The sequence below is a fragment of the Homo sapiens genome, chromosome 11 (genome assembly GCF_000001405.40).
Source record: "Homo sapiens chromosome 11, GRCh38.p14 Primary Assembly".
In the NCBI taxonomy this organism is placed as follows: domain Eukaryota; kingdom Metazoa; phylum Chordata; class Mammalia; order Primates; family Hominidae; genus Homo; species Homo sapiens.
In genome coordinates this window covers 111,379,461-111,396,372 of record NC_000011.10, presented here as the reverse complement: position 1 = coordinate 111,396,372, position 16,912 = coordinate 111,379,461, and the positions used below count along the sequence as shown (strand labels likewise).

Below are 16,912 nucleotides of genomic sequence, written 5' to 3'. Positions count from 1 at the left end.
GAGGCCTGGAAAGGGCAGAGGGGACAGGGAGTGCTGTGGGCCTTCCATAACCCTGGCTGGTCACCCTGGAAATCACGGTGACTTGTTTTCAGAACGTTACCTAGTGCCAAGGCAGTTTACAAGTTACATATAACAGGAGGGACCATTCTAAAATCTGTATCCCCAAAGCGCCAACTATTTGCCCCTTAGCATGGAGAAAATCTGTTCTTATGTAGGAGTTCAACTGCTCTGAAGGGGACATTGGCTCTGAATTGCTCTCAAGTCTCAAGTATCATTTGCTACTTGATGGCCACCTGCCACCATCCTGGGCAGGGGCTGAGGAGAAGGTTGAGGGGCACAGGGACTGAAACTGTCCTGCAACAGCAGCGTCAGGTCTGGGCTGGGCTTGGAGAAGGCAGGCATGCCTCCGGGGCGGCTTCTGCGAGATAGCTGCACCGGCTGGTGGACCAGGTTGAGGGGCTGTGCAAAGTGATCAAGGTGATGCAGGAGGCGTGCCTCTAAGTTTGGCTGGAAGACATTTGTCTGCAGGGTAAGTTCAAAGGGGGCATTGCCTAGGGCAGCGCATCTCCAACTCTGTGTGTTCTCTGGAGATGCTTGTGGGGCTGCCTGGACTGAGGGCTAGGGAAGCCAAAGGAGTGGGAAGACCCCAAAGACAGCCTGTGGGCCCCACCTGCTCCCTCTTCACTGAATTTGGGGCTTTTGTATCAGCTTTATATTTTGGAGAACTGCTTAATAATTTATTTGAAAAAGAAAAGGATGCTGCTGGTAGAAACCAGTTGAAAATCTTTGTCATTTGAACAGCCTTTTCATAACATACTCTTTTGGTCCCTGCTACCAGGCTTGAAGGCATGTCCCTAAAATAGGGGAGGTCCCTGACTCTCGGACACCCACAGGGGTGACGGTGCTGATCCCAGGACCTGCTCAGTGTGTACATACTCTGCTGGAGTGCTGGGATGCAAGGCTCTGCTGGGGTTGCCGGGAGCAGGGATGGGAGCAGGAGCCAGTGAACTGCCAGCAGGAGGAAGAACAATGGGCTAGTGTGAGTGCTGCCTGAGGGGGCCTGCGGAGGTGACAGTCCACCGGGGCTGTGGAGGCGTGTTTGTCCAGGCAGGAAGCCACATGGGACCTCAGGCCGGTCTCTCCTGGCACAGCTCCTGACCGCACCTGCAGCAGAGCCCCTGGGTGCCTTCAGGATGGAGGAGCTGTTGCTGGATGGCCAAGCCCACCTGGCCTGGGCCAATTTCTTCCCTACTTCCTGGTTGTGGATGAGGACTGCCCTCTCTGCTCCAGGAAAAAATTCTCCACTATTTTCAGGCCATTTGGCCTTCTTCCTTAGTCACCTCATGGACTCACTATCCAGGAGCCAGATTCCCTGAGCTGGAGGGAATACGTTCTAATAAAATGGCTTCTGAGGGGGAGAGGACTCATGGATATGACACCTCATAGATTCTCCATCTATATATGTGGAATGAATGATTTTATGAGCATCTCAGGCTTTTCCACTCTACTGAGACTATTAAGCCAACAAAGATAGGACCATATCTTGGTAAGTGGCAGTCGTTTTTATCACCAGATGATGATTTCCTGGTGTCAGTTACTTAAAGACGAGGTCTGTCTCTCAAACCAGGCACAGGGCTGGGCACAAGTGTCTAAAGAGGAGGCCAAGGTGGGCCCATATAGAGATAAACAGTAGAAATGAGGAGGCTGTGGAGGTGGACCAGACATTAATTTTCACACTGGGTATGTGTATTAGTCTGTTTTCATGCTGCTGATGAAGCTATACCCAAGACTGGGTATCTTATAAAGAAAAAGAGGTTTAATGGACTCACAGTTCCATGTGGCTGGTGGGGGGGTCTCACAATCATGGCAGAAGGCAAAGGCATGTCTTACATGACGGCAGACAAGAGAGAATGAGAACTAAGCAAAAGGGGTTTCCCCTTATAAAACCGTCAGATCTTGTGAGACTTATTCACGGCCACAAGAACAGTATGGGGGGAACTGCCCCTATGACTCAATTACCTCCCATGGGGTCCCTCCCACAACATGTGGGAATTATGGGAGCTACAATTCAAGATGAGATTTGGGTGGAGACACAGCCAAACCATATCAGTATGGAAAGGGCAGGAACTTCAAGCCACAGGAATGGGCTGGCTACCGCAAGTTCAGAAAGCTGGACTCATCAACTTGACTTCTTCCCCATGCCTAATGTTCCCTGGGTCATTCCTAGTGTGCTCTCTCTTGTTCAGTGCTTAGTAATACAATGGCCATTTCTTGGTCCTCTACTATTGTGAGGCTTCATGATGTGCCTTTTCATGCAGTATCTGAGTTGATCCTTGTAACAGCCTGGTGAGGAACTCTTGTATCTGTATCGTACAGGTGATGAAATCAAGACACAGAGCATTAAGTGCTTTTGCTCAAGGTAACAGTTTTAAGAGGTAGACCTGAGATTTGAACCCAGATCTATTTGATTCCAGAGATAAAATTCTTCATTGCTGTTTGCTATGGAGTTTTTTAGACAGTACCAGTTTGTCTTAACTGTGCTGAGTATTTCTAAGAGCAGAGTTCAAGTTCACATTTGCATGAAGCTTTTCAAAGGGTAGTGGAGCTCCCAGAGTTCAATCAGCATAAAGTGGAGCTTGGGGACAGGTCATGTCACTTGGTCAGTCATCCTTCCCTCCTAGAGCATCTCCCTCTCCTCCTCATGCTAGACCTTCAACACTCTGGTTTTGCTTTAGTAACTGGGGAGTTTTTCCTCCTGGCTTTTCTCTGCAACCTCTTCCCAGCTGTTCCCAACCCTGAGAGTGGCTAAAGAGGAAATCATGATGGTGCATCCTGTATTTGGGACTAGAGTAGTAGATTTCAAAGTATACAGTTCTTTGGGCAACCAGCATCCTGGAGACCTGAACTCAGCTACCACCGGTCTTCAGTGTGTCCTTCTCAGGCACCCGTGGGTTCTGTGCACCATAGTCAGGTGCTGCTGCTGCTGCCTGAGGGTGTGGAGGGCTGCAAGGAACAGGTGTTTCAATGCTGCCCTTTGCTTTGGATGCTCTAATCTGTCCAAGCTGACATCACAGCCTCTGAGAGGTGAGTGCATATGACCGTCTAGATTAGATAAAGTGACTCATCGTAATTTACAAACTGTGATTTAGTAATCCGGTTCCTTGACTCAGAGTAATAAGAGATCCATGATAACAGTGGATTTGGAGGAAACTTGGGGGAGATCCAGATAGCATCAGCCCACAGTGCTATCCCTCCTAGCAATCTTTGCACTCATTGTTGATGTGTATTGTATGTTCATGAATCTAGGTGACGATATGGTATAATCTGTCATCACTCTGTGGCATATTCTCACTCCTCTCTGTAGTTCAGGCAGTACCATAAGACTCCCCTCAGGGCCCAGGCTCAAGCCTATCCGTGATTGCAAGAATGGCTATCCCTTTTGGGTGCTTACTATTTGCCAGGCACTGTTGTACTGTTTTACACACATCCAATAATCTAACCCTCACAAGAATTCTATAATGTACATACCCAGAGGAGACAAGGTTGGTGGCGGCAGGATCAAACCCAGGCACTTGACTCGCAGGTCTGGGCTCTTAGCTAGCAAACTATGTTACCACTGTGCAGGCTGGAATGTCTATTCTCCCAAAAACTCAGAGCCAAGCAGTGAGGGATGAAGGAGCCAGGTGAGGCCCTGCTTTCTGAGCAAGATAGCTAGGTGTTATAGAAGAGAACTAGATAAGGCTGTGGTTCTCACATGTGATCCCTGGACCGGCAGCCTCAGCATCACCTCGGAATTTGTTAGAAATGCAAGTCCTCTGGCCCTGTCCTGGACCTACCAAATCAGAAACCCTGGGAATGGTGATTTGGATGCATGACAAAGTTTGAAAATCACTAGAGGCCAGCCACGGTGGCTCATGCCTGTAATCCTAGCATTTTGGGAGGCCGAGGCGGGCTGATCACAAGGTCAGGAGATCAAGACCATCCTGGCTAATACGGTGAAACCCCATCTCTACTAAGAATGCAAAAAATTAGCTGGGCATGGTGGTGGGTGCCTGTAGTCCCAGCTACTTGGGAGGCTGAGGCAGGAGAATGGCATGAACCCGGGAGGCAGAGCTTGCAGTGAGCCGAGATCGTGCCGCTGCACTCTAGCCTGGGTGACAGAGCAAGACTCCGTCTCAAAAAAAAAAAAAAAAAAAAAAAAAAGAAAATCACAGGAAAAGGGAAGCTGGAGGCTAGGTTCTAGGTCTATCTTTGCCCTTGCCTAGCTAGGTAACCATAGGCAGGTAATTTCATCTCTCTGGTCCTATTTCCTCATTTTAAAAATGAAGGGCTCACTCTAGATTTATTCACTTTTCATTAATCCAGCAAACATTTATTGAGTGCTTACTGTGTGACTGATTCCGAGAATGCAGAGACACGAAGCTTTCAGAATGGAACGCAATGAGAGCCAGGTGGCTTGGGATCATCTGTGGTTACCACTCCAGTTTCAACCGTAGTTAATTCTTGCTGAAACAATTGTTAGAAAGACTCTCTCTAACCTCCCACCCTTTCTCCTAACTCTAATTTATCTTCACACTGTTGCCAAAGCCACTTTTAAAAGAAGCGTGACTATGACCCCGTCACTCCTCAGTGAAAAACCTTCCATGGCTCCCTATTGCCCATACTTTCCCAAAGGAACACAAATGGAACACAATTGGAAACACATTTCCAAGGATCACAAGCAGCTTGGAACACAGTTCCAAGGACCAGAGAGATGGAACACAATTCCAAGCTGCTTGTGATCCTTGGAAATGTGAGAGGCCTCAGGCATAACTCCGCCTGTGCCGCCCAGGCCTGTAGGATGGCGAGGAGGAAGAAGTCCCGGCCAGCAGAGGTTCTAGGTTCTGCGTAACCTGAGTCCAGTGGCTAAAAAAAGAAAAGACTAGGATTCTCATGTAACATTTGGCAAAACTCTACACTTCCTTGAGCCTCACGTGACATTTCTCCTAGATAAACCTGGCTAAATTCCTGCCTGTATTTCAAAACCTACAAAAAATTTGGAGCGACAGAAAATGGGTGTGTTGGCTCAAGACTCAAGACTCTGAACAGTATGAGTTTGGAGTTTGTCGCAGCAACTGGGGCCATTGTCTTCAAAAACCAGCATCCTGAATAGGGTCCCTGGGGCTTGATGACTGCCGTTAACATAGTTGGGCTGGAGAACTTGCTCTCCAACTTCAGATGCAGCCACTGATGTCTATATGGTTGTCTACCCCTGAAAAAGAGTAAAGGAACTGTTATCAATTAATCAATGAGACTTTATCGAGCACATACTCTATTACTGTTTTTATGCCAAATTTGCTGGTTACGAAAGAAACCTAAGGTGCTTCCTTGCACCAGAAGTCTGCCAAATTTTCTGCAATCCAGGGCTTGGCATCATTTAATAAATTGGGCCATCCAAACTCCATCGGAGGTGGGTCTGAGTCAGCTTAGCAATCTGCCTGGAACTTTGCTTTGGAGTCTGTGCATCTGCCTGTGAAGTCTGCCTCAACTGGTGCAAAATGGTTGCCTTGTTTTGGGAAGATAAATGGTCTGAGTTGCATCATGAGATGTTCAAGTGGGACTGGAAGGCTTCGAAGAAAGAGGGAGAGTCAAGATGCTCAGAGTCCTGTTGGACTCTTAAAAAACCTTCTGTCTCTGTCGCAGAGTGGAAAGCCCACCAGAGCCTTAGTGCCCACTTCCTGTGGTGTGACTGAGCTTAGGGCTCCCTGAGCTCAGTTCTTACTTTGTTATTGTGAGGGCATTGGCTGGTGTTCAACTGATATTTCTTGAATTTGTTGCATGTAGAATATCTAGGTTGGATGCCATTGATAGTTTTTATCTTTATCCCTTAGCTGGGTTTTTAGAAATGCTTTTCTGAATGTGCCCAAGATGTTGATTTTGAAAGATACTTTATGACCCACTGCTTTCTTTGTTCTGATGGGAAGATATTTGTTCTGGCTGCCTCTCCTCTACCTCTCCCCACTTCCACTGGAATGTAAGCTCTAAGAAGTCAGGAGACTTACTTTCCTTGTTCACTGTTCCATCCTTAATGCCAAATACAGACTGGATGACAGTGGGATGACATTCAGCAAATATTTGCTGAATGAATGAGTGCATGAATGAATGAATGGATGGATGGATGAATGATCAGCTGTTTGGGACTTAACTTTCTTGTGTGTGTGCATGTTGTGGGGAATAATGTGATGTGGTGATTATAAGCTATGGAGTCAGATTGCCCAGATTATAATCCTGGCTCTTCTACTTATAAACTGTGCATTTTAGCCAAGTTTCTTAACCTCACTGTGTTTCCTCATATGTAAAATGAGGCTAATACTTCAAAGCATTGTTATGCAGATTAAATGAACTAATATGTGTAAAGTATTTAGAACAGTTCCTCGCTATATGATCAGTGCTCCAGAAGTCTTAGCTTTCGTTGGCTTTGTGAGCTGGAAGGCACACATGGAACTCCTGGAGTTGTTTTATCTCCTTCTGCCTCCCTCCACTTTTGTTTTTTTATGGTGTGATTGTGTCTAGTTGTGGGACACATTAATTAAGAGAGTTTTTTTAAAAGAAAAACGTACTCATGCCGATCAGTTTATATTTATTGTGCACCTGTTACATTTATTATACCTTTTTCTAAAAGAAAATTAGTATTTTCTCCCACAGATAGTGATAGCAACACTGGGTTCAAGTCAAAATCTGTCACATTCATTATTAATGAAAAAGTAGTAATAACAGAACTAGCTACCATTTATAGAGTCTTTTCTATATTCTGGGCATTGTGCACTTTGGTGGACCACGGATCATGGATACCCAGGTATTGACTGAATGTCAGACTTTGTCTCTGGGTTCACTGAGGCCAGGCTTAGCTTACTTTGTTCATTAGTCTCACTCTAGTGTTACTATGGCCAACAAATGCCTCAGGTAGAGTTAATCCTTAATTGAATTGACTGCTCTATCTTTGGAAGCAGATTTCTTTTTTTCTTTTGGACCTTCAAGGTGTCTAAAATTTTGAGTTGTCGTTATCTCTTTCTCACTCTTTCCTCTTTTTTCTTCCTACACTGACATTTCTATTTATATCTCGTTTTCATTTTCTCTGTCTCTTCATTCATTCATTTATTCAAGTTACTTTCCCACCAAATTACAGAAGTGGTAGTTGAAAAACAGCAGTGCAGCTGCCAGCCCTATAGCTCCACCCATGACAGAAAGTTGCCCAGGAGCATGGCATGCATGCAAATAGACTTGCCTTCGCATGTTGGATCCTTTTCCTTTTTATAGGAAACTACACCTTTGATTCATAAGGAAATGGACTTTGGCTTTATTGTAATTCCTATTTTCATGGTGTTTTGGCACAAATCATGAAATACACCTGGTGAAACTCCTGAGTCACTGGAGGGCTTAAAGTTTCAGGAAGAGGAAGAGGAGGAGGTTCCTGTGTGGCATCTTCAGAAAGAAGGATGATTGGCAAGTATTACCTCCATCACTGGACAAACTCCTTTCACTTTACTCCTTTGAGCCTTTAGCTCAAGGGGAACAGGGCATTGGTCAGTAATTGATCAAACCACCAGCATCCCCGATATATGAATTCTGGGGGGCTCTGGCCCCTTGTGGGCTTTTAAATGCTGCACAGAGAAGAAGTGAGGCTGAGAGCTTTGAGTCCTGGACAGGCAGAGTGTGTGCCAGGTCATAGGGTCACTGGATCACTATTCCTTGGGAGAACCACAGGAATGCGATTGTTTCTGGGTGTGGGGCGTGCGTGAAGCCAAGATCCCTCCTGTTTGTGGGAAATGATGGTTATGTGTTTAGCTAGACAAAGGATGTTCCATGCTACACTTAAGCTGGAGGCTTTTGTTTTTCTTGGTAATCAGGGCATTCTAGGGGCATTCCAATGAAGAAAACTTGAAAGGGGATAGATAGAAAAGGAGATCATGAGAAAAAAGGAAGGACTAGTGTTTGGTTGTCTAGGGTTGTGCTTCCAAAATCCCAAAGCAATGTCACATGAAATTAAAAAAAAAAAAACACACACCTCCAAACCAACCAACCAACCAACCAACCAACCAACCAACCAACCAACTGAGTCATGGCCACTCCAGATCTACTGAGTCAGGTTCTCTACAAGTGGGGCCCAAAGAATATCTCTTTATAGTAAGTATCCCATGTAATTTAGATGGAAATTCTCTAGGAATTCTTGTGGGACTTTCAGTTATAAGAAAAATATATCAGGTTTTTCATACCAGCAATAACTTGCTTGAGCATAGGGACTTTCTTACCTTGTTATCCCTAACATTATTTCCAGCACAAAGTTTGTGCTCAATAAGTATTTTTAGAAGTATCATGGAAAATATTTCTTAAAGGTGGCCACTGACTGTGTGGGAAGTGGGGAAAAATAATGTTGGTAATATGGAGGCAAAACTGTCAAATAAAGCCCATTGTTCAGTGTGTGGTGCTCAGTAATGGCAAAGAAGAAAAAAAAAAGGTCTCTGTGCCTTGGACAGACCACATGGTGAGTAGAATAGCCCAGAAACATATTCTTTTTGCAAAGACTATTTTTCCCCCAAGCTCCATGACATAATAGCACCAAAAGTAATAACTATCAGGCTTTCTTGATTATCTTCCAAGATCATTTATGGCAGTCTCAGGCCATAGATAATAATTAAAGCTACCTGGTCCTTGGTTTTCTCATCTGCAAAATGGGGCATGGACACTTGCCAGCTGCCTGTATTAATGCAAGTTTGTCAGAGTGGCTAGAGGCCATCTGTCTAGTACCAGAAGGAGTTCAGAAATGGTCATAAAGAGAGTTGGGCACCTTCCAGCCTGCTGTGGAGGCCAGGCTGTCACACACAGTAAAGCCCTGGCTTCTGAACACTGGCACTCGTCCAGGCGCCACTTGGGTTGATGCAATCTCTATTTGATCACATGAATATGATTTCCTTTTCATTGTGCCTAGTCACAATGTCTAATTATTGAAGGCACAATAAAACTAAAATTCCAATGATTAGGCCTCTTCCTAGATAAGAACCTGCCATCCAGCTGTCAACCATATTTGCAGATGATGTCTGGGAACTTGAGAAGATGAGAGGTGGTTTGAATCTTACTGCTTCTTCAGATAAGGGTAGCAGGGCATGATCTTTTCTTGGAAAACTAGAAATTGGTAAAGTTTGAAGGGCTCACTAGTGTGCATGAATTTTGAGAGCAAAGATATGAAAGAGAATTCAGTGATATATTCTCTTGATCTGAATGGTACAATAAAATTAGCGTATGTAGAAAACTCTATACTAGCCTATCAATGCAACAGTTACTATTATTATTTCAACTTGGAAGAGGAGGAAATTAAAGCTAGGAGAGTTTAAACAATGTGACCAAGGCCACACTGCTAGCACTGCAGCCAGATTCCAAACCAGGCTCTCTGACTCTAAATTACATAATCTCTTCACTATATCCTGCTGCCTAACCCAGAGGGAAATTATGCATAAGAATGAAATGATATACATGTGCCAGAGAAATGAGAAATGGGCTTAGCTGGCTCACTATGTAAAGAATATGTGGGAAATTGCCTGAAGGCAACAATGGGCTTCGGTATTTTACCTGTGGATTACCCTTTTTACCTCGGAGCCCATTACTGTCCTAACTGGACCTAAAGCAACTTATCTTTTATATATTTAAAATTTGATATCATAGTATTTCTCTATAATAAACAGTGGTTCTTAACCTTGAGACTCTCATGAACGCTATGAACTGTCTTCCAAGGAAAATATGTATATACACACAGGATTCATGGCCCTCCTTTAAAATCACCCTGGTCCTCTCTTCTGCTCCCATCTGTAGGGTCAAGAAATCCTCTATAAGTCTGACTTTACAAACTGCCCTGAATTTCTGGGCCATAGAAAATCTTCATAGTTTAGAGGTTGTTGAGCCTCTAGGCCATCAATTTTTCTATGCACTAGTCCATGTCTGAGTTGATGACAAATCATTTATTGAAAGGTCGTATGAATTTTCTTTCTATCTAACACCAGGTGTCTAGCTATATGATACTAAACATTTCTGTTTTTTTCATTGTTATAGCCCTAAAGCCTGGAATAGAACTTGGCACAATTACATGATGTAAGTTATATGTTTTATTTTTTGTGTCCTATATACAAAAAATTATGTGTAAAATTGTGTGTAAAAAATGTTTGGAAATTAATTATGAAAATGCAATAGGACAACTTGTTCTTTGTTGCTCAGGCTGGAATGCAGTGGCACGATTACAGCTCACCTTGACCTCCTGGGCTCCAGCAATCCTCCAACCTCCACCTTCAAGTAGCTGGGACTACAGGCACATGCCACCATGCCTGGCTAATTTTTAAATTTTTTTGTGGAAATGGGGTCTCACTATGTTGTCTAGGCTGGTCTTGAACTTTTGGGCTCAAGCGATCCTCCCACCTTGGCCTCCCAAAGTGCTGGGATTGCAGGTGTAAGCCAATACACTGGGCCAGCAACTCGTTCTTAAAGGGAATTTGTTTACAATTTCCCTATTATGTATAACATCACTCTAGATTTTTGGCATATAAACTTTATCAAGTTAAGGAAGTTTCCTTCTAGTCCTAAGTTTCTAAGAGTTATTTTTCTTAAATTACAAATAGATGTTGGACTTTATCAAATGTTTAGATATTTGATTGAGATACTTTAATAATTTTTCTCCTAAAGTTTATCAATGTGGTGAATTATATTGATAGGTTTTCTAAGAATAAACCATCCTTGCATTCCTGGGATAAATCTTACATATTATAATATATTATTATTATATCATGATGTATTAGTCCTTAATATACTATTGAATTCAGCAAGCAAATATTTTGTTCAGGATTTTTGAATCGATGTTCACAAATTAGATGGCCTATAATTTTCTTTTCTTATATTGACCTTATTTAGTTTTAGAATCAAGTTTACATGATTGGCTCTTTAAAGTAATTTAAATTAAATGCAGAAATCTGTCTTTTAATTGGTGAGTTTAATCTTCTTAAATTCATTATCATTACTGAGCTAGTTGAACCTATCCTGCCAACTTATTCCTGTTTTCCATTCATTGTAATTTTTAAATACATCCTTCCTGTTTTTCACAGAAAGATTCAGTTTCTCTCAGAATGCTCAAAAGTTAAATGTTTAAAATTTAAAAGCTAAACTTTGAAACATTAAAAGTTAAACAGAATGTTTAACACATCATTTATGAAAAAGTTAAACAGAATGTTTAAAAGTTTAACTTTTGTTTTATTTTTTGTTATAAAAAAATTTTTTTTTGTAATAAGAACAAAAGTGGCAGTTGCCTCCTACTTCAGATCCACTTTTATGTTTATTTGTCCTTCAGATCCACTTTTATGTTTATTTGTCCCTATTGATTTCTTAAATTTATTGATAGCTATATTTTCTCCTTAGAAAACGAAAGCATTAGTGCATTTTGATTTCTCTTTGATCTCCTTAAGGGCCACATTTTGGAAAATTAAATATAATATAAATGGTGTTCTCTGGACTTGTGTAATCATGTTATTTTAAAGATATTTTGTTTTGTGTTGTTATGGATGAATTTTCTCCTTTTCCCAGCTTTAAGAAAATTCCTATAATAAACTTTACCCAGTATTTGATTACCTTTTGCTCTCATAGTTCTTGCAACATCCTCCTGAGTCACTCTTTTCATTTGAATGCTTTCTCTAAGAGCAATTTTAATGGGAGTCTTGTAGGTCTGAAGACATCTTCATTAGCTACAATATTTGAATGACAATTTGGCTAGATTTAAAATTATAGGTTCAGTGTTCATTTTCTTAAATACTTTAAAAATATTTCTTCATTATCCGCTTGCATCTAGTTTTGCTGTGGAAAAGTATACTGTCATTTTGATTCTTGTTCCTTAGCTATAAATATATTCTTTTTCTTAGTAAGCTTTTAGAATGTCCTGTTTGTATTAGTTGTTTTAAAGTTTCATTATAACGTATCCAAGTGTTTGTTTTACCTTATCTCTATTGTTGTCCATGAGGCCTTTCAAAGATTTTTCATCTTTTTTTTTTAATTTTAGGAATTTGTCATTTCTGTAAGACAAGGACAGGGCAAGAATAACCACTATTAGCATTATTACTTGTCATAGTACTGGCCAACACCATAGGAAAGGAAAAAAACAAGAGATGGAAGAATCGGAAGGGAAAAAATAAAACTGCCGTTACTTTCAGAAGAGATTGTCTTCTACCTAGAAAGACTATGATAACCAACAAACTATTAGAATAAATAAAACAGTTCAGCAAGGTTTCTAGAAATAAGATAAACTCTCAAATATTAGAATTTTTCTATAGCATCACTAACCAACTAGAAAATTATATAAAAAACAAGATGCCATTCACAATATCAACAGAAACTATAACATAATTGAGAATTAGCTTATTTAAGAATATACTGTACTTCTGCGGAGAAAATTTAAAAACTGTAATAATAAAAAACATGGAATATGATCTGAAGAGATGGAGAGCTGTCCCATGCTCAGCTGGACCAAATTAATTTTATAATGATATTACTCTTGCTTGAAGTAATCTACAAATTCAATGAAAACCAATAAAAATTTCAGTGTTTTTTTTGGGGGGGGTGCTGGGGAGTCTCTCTCTGTCACCCAGGCTGGAGTGCAGTGGTGCGATCTCGGCTCACTGCAACCTCCATCTCCTGAGTTCAAGCTATTCTCCCACCTCAGCCTTCTATGTAGCTGGGATTACAGGTGCCCACCATCATGCCCAGCTGATTTTTGTATTTTTAGTGGAGACAGGGTTTCGCCATGTTGGCCAGGCTGGTCTCAAACTCCTGACCTCAGGTGATCCATCTGCCTCGGCCTCCCAAAGTGCTAGAATTACAGGCATGAGCCACCATGCTGGCTGGAATTTTTTGAGGAACTTGATAGACTTATCTGAAAAATTTAAGCTGTACTATAATAAATAACAATAAAAACTAAGGTACAAGAACAACGAGACCAGTAAAATAAAATAGGTCCATGTACCTAAAGTATGTATTTCTATTCAAAAAAAGCACACTATGAATAAAGTTAGCAGATGACAAGAGTGAAGAAATTTGTGTTGAGTAAAACTGAAAATATCTAGAATTGTACATCTAGAACACAGATGTGCAAAGAATTTCTGCTGATCAACAAGAAAAAGGGCAATCCTGGTACAGAAATTGGCAAAGGAATGAACAGACATTTTAAACTGGCAAGAACAAATACTACACTTGATCTTAGCCAAAAGGCCAAGAGGTGATTGAAGAGGTATTTTGAAGAGAAACTCCATAGGGTTAACATGCATATGAAGACATGCTTCCATTTATTAGTATTATAATGTAAAATAAACCACTACACTATCACTACACTATTACACTAAAACACACACACACACACACACACACACACTACACTGTTGCTATCACTACATGTACCACACTGGCAACATTTAGACCTTGGATAATGTCAGGTTTGGTGGTAAAGTGGAAATATGAGAAGCTGGTGGAAAAATGAACTGCTGGTGGAAGTCTTGGACAGATTAGTATTCAGTCAGATTAAATATACACCTATTCTTTGGCCCAGTAATTCCACCTCTGGGCATATAACCTCAATGAAATTTTCACATGCCTCTGAAAAAAGATGCATATAAGAATGTTCATCAATGCTTTGTTTGTGGAAGAGGAAGTTGGAGACAATCTGCTTAAGTGAAATGCAGCGCTCACACACCATAGAATACTTTGCAGGTGTTAAAAGTGGTGCACAGAATGTCTACATCAATGTGGATAGATCTTACAACACTGTGCTGAATTAAAAAATAAGAAACAGCGTGAAATGTGTAATATAACATCACCTACATAAATTAAAAATCTATACATGCCAAACAATACAGATCTTATAAGAACAGGCACAAATGTCTACAAATAAAAGCTTCAGCATCAACCACTGAAAAGAGTTGCCCTGATTGGAATGGTGGGTGGGTGATGGGGGTATGAGGGGACAGGAAAAAGAATAGACATGGAAAATGAGGGGGAAAGTAGATGAATGAATAAATAAATTACTGAGCAAAATAAGATAGGGGCTTTTCATAAATCAAAAATGATGAGAATGAAGATGATTAAAGGCTAAATGAAAAGAAAAGATTAAGACTTGGCAGAGGTAATGACATGTAATAAGCACTCTGTAAATATTTATTAAATGATGGAAGAAATGAAGTCGATGGTGAATCTTTTTGCAAAGCTAAAATTTATTTCACAATATGAATCAGTGCGCTTTAATAAATTATTTTAGAAGTTTTGATGTTTGTATATCAGATTCTTTAAAAATGTGAGCACACCTGTATTTGGAGTCATCTGGACCATGTTCACAGATTTTTTCTTCTTTTCTTCCACTTCTTGAGACATTGCATAAACATAGTCGCCTCTTTTGAACTATGCCATGCAGTTTGACTTTTGATTCTAAGTCACAGAAAATGTTTTCCTGGAAAATATTTGCTGTTTCGATCAAGTCTTGATTCCAAAGCATCTGCCTGTATGTGGTCACTGATATGCAGGGTATTTGCTGGAAGAAATGAGCTGGAATCTGCCTCATGAGCTGTGAGGCCATAAGAGGTGATGGGTTTATCGCTGGCCATGATGGTGGGCTTGCCCACTGACATTTTGTTTTTCTGCCACTGTACAAGATCTGATTTGTCAGAGTAGCTCTGGGTCTCACCTTTTCCTTCCCTCTTTCCAGAGGACAGAAATTTATTCCGGGGGATATAGCTTCTGTTGATCTGCTTCAGGTTTTAATAATAATGATCCTATATTACTACTAACAAACATGGCTGACACTTGGCATTTACTGCTTTCAACTTAATAAATATCTTTTATTTTAATGATTTAGAGCTCTGGCTCTAGTCAGATGAACTTGGGTCTGGCACCAGCCTATAACCTGATAGCTTGGTGACATTGGACAGATGAAATTCCCTAAGCATTTGTTTGTTTCTCTGAACAATACAGGTAGACGTTTCCTTGCAGCGTTGTTGTGGTGACTAGATTAGGTAATGTATTTAAGGCTTAACATGGAGCCTCTTGCACAGTAAGTGGTTATATTATTACTTTGTGGAAATCATCATGCTAGGCCTGTGGGGAGAAACTGAGATGAATAAGAAAAAGTTCTGAATTTCACGGACTTGGAGAGAATAAGACATGACCAAAAGAGACAAAAGACAGACCCGTGGGAGAGAGGACCAGCGAGGCCACATATCCTCCTACGAACCTGTGAGACACTCACAGAACTGGTTCTTCATTTTATAGATGAGGAAACTGAGGCTAGAAGAGTTATGTGACTTGTTGAAGGGGACACAGTGAGTGAGTGTCAGAGCCTTCATGGGAACCCACGTCTCCTGTGACTGAGGCAGGCCTGAGGGATGTGCCTCTGTTTCTCATGGAAACTCCTTGGCGCAGCCCAAGGCCTTGAGATGCTGCCCCCTGCCAGGCCAGGGTGTGGGCTGCCAGCCACCACAGCATGGGGGCCTCCACTGTCCTGAACTTCAGAGGCTTTGCGGGGAGGGCTTATAGGCAGCCAGGAGACAGCCTTCTCTGGCTTTTAAGTGAATCATTTATAAAATGTTGACAGCATTTCTCCTCAAGACCTGCCCTCAAATCAGCAACCGATTAGAGACAGTAATTCATAACTTTATCAGATGAATTTTTATTGGGGGTCACTATGCTCCAGGTCTTGTGTGGGGCACTGGAGAGGCAAAGATGAAACCTCCTTGAGAAACTGTCAGAGTCATGTGACAATTCACCATCACATAATGAACAAAGTGCTCTAAGATCTGAGAAGACGAACAAGTATTCTCTGGGCTGGGGGTTTGTCCTTCCGGCAAGAGAGGACGGCAAGGTCAAAGGCAGGGAATTGCATGGGTGTTTGGTGGTGCTTAGAGGGCACTGGGACCAGTGGTAGGAGGGCAGTTGGTGGTGAGGCTGGAAAGGAAGGCAACGGCTCGATTGTGGGAGGCCTTCTAGGCCTCCAGCTCTGTGGCTGAAGGGAGAAGGTGAATGCTTTGTAGGCTAGGGGATAGCATGATCAGGTCTAGGTGGTGCAAGATGGCTCTGAGGCAGTATGGATGGCAGAGCAGCAAGGCCCCACACCTGCTCTAGGGGGTGTGCCAAGGGGTCTTGACCCCAAACTGACTGAGTCCCTGGAGCCTGAGCATGTGGACCTCAGATATGCAGTGGCAGAAGGCTTCCAAACTGTGAAGGAACCGGTAGCCAACACCATCTACACTTCCAGATGGTGAGCCCATGACTTACTTAAAGAAGCTTCCTGTTATCAGTGGGTGGGCACTCGCAAAGAGGCTCTGTTCATCTTGTGCCTACAAGCCCAGATCCAGTCAAAGAGCACGGGCATGTTCTCCTTCCTTCCTTGAGGGTTGGCCTCTTTTTCCGTGGGCATAGCCGACATCAGAGCCAGCGCCCCCATATTTCAGCATGATTAAGCCTTGCCATTTTGGGGGTGGCTGGGGGCGAGGGGAGGGGCTACTGTGTTTCAAAATGGAATAAACAGAAAAGCAATATTGAAAGAATGAGGAGGTTGTTTACTGAGGCTTGAAGAGATGACAGGTGTTTCCTCCCAGTTGAGAACCAGTGACCCCTGGGAATCGCATTTCCCGCTGAGCAGGCGCCCATGGCGGGCTGAGTCCTGCCCATGCCCTGGTGGCCTGGAAGCCTGCATGGGCGCCGTGCAAAGATCAACGTTTTCCAGAGGAGCTTTTGGGCTCATCACTGGCCTGGGGAGGGCTTGACACGGGGTTCCCACAGCTTGCCCCACACCACCTTCACACCCACACACAGCAGGTCCCCGCGGGGCCGGTGCAGGCTGTGGCTGCCCGCGCTGCGCTGTTGCTCT

The 16,912-nt window shown here is 42.4% G+C and overlaps 1 protein-coding gene and 1 pseudogene across 12 annotated transcripts in view, besides 2 other annotated features; one reads left to right on the top strand and one right to left on the bottom strand.

Annotated features, from left to right (window-relative positions):
• Positions 1–12,547, top strand: part of BTG4 (BTG anti-proliferation factor 4) — a 130,900-nt gene extending 118,353 nt beyond the window's left edge. For 6 of the 12 annotated variants that reach the window (XM_024448589.2, XM_024448591.2, XM_024448592.2 and 3 more), the window contains 2 exons: positions 10,081–10,119; positions 10,243–11,639. In XM_024448589.2, coding sequence (XP_024304357.1) covers positions 10,081–10,119; positions 10,243–10,321 — 118 coding nt within the window. In that variant the 3' untranslated portion in view covers positions 10,322–11,639. Of the gene's footprint in view, positions 1–10,080; positions 10,120–10,242; positions 11,640–12,064 lie in introns of those variants that run through there. The other 6 variants (XR_947835.3, XR_947834.3, XR_947852.3 and 3 more) reach the window with 4 other exon arrangements.
• Positions 13,154–13,281, bottom strand: RNU2-60P (RNA, U2 small nuclear 60, pseudogene; annotated as a pseudogene).
• Positions 15,942–16,161: an enhancer, noted in NCBI's record as "active region_5510". NCBI's record gives its function as "activates an Ori minimal core promoter by ATAC-STARR-seq in GM12878 lymphoblastoid cells {active_cell/tissue: GM12878}" and the evidence as "EXISTENCE:reporter gene assay evidence [ECO:0000049][PMID:35858748]".
• Positions 16,382–16,471: an enhancer, noted in NCBI's record as "active region_5509". NCBI's record gives its function as "activates an Ori minimal core promoter by ATAC-STARR-seq in GM12878 lymphoblastoid cells {active_cell/tissue: GM12878}" and the evidence as "EXISTENCE:reporter gene assay evidence [ECO:0000049][PMID:35858748]".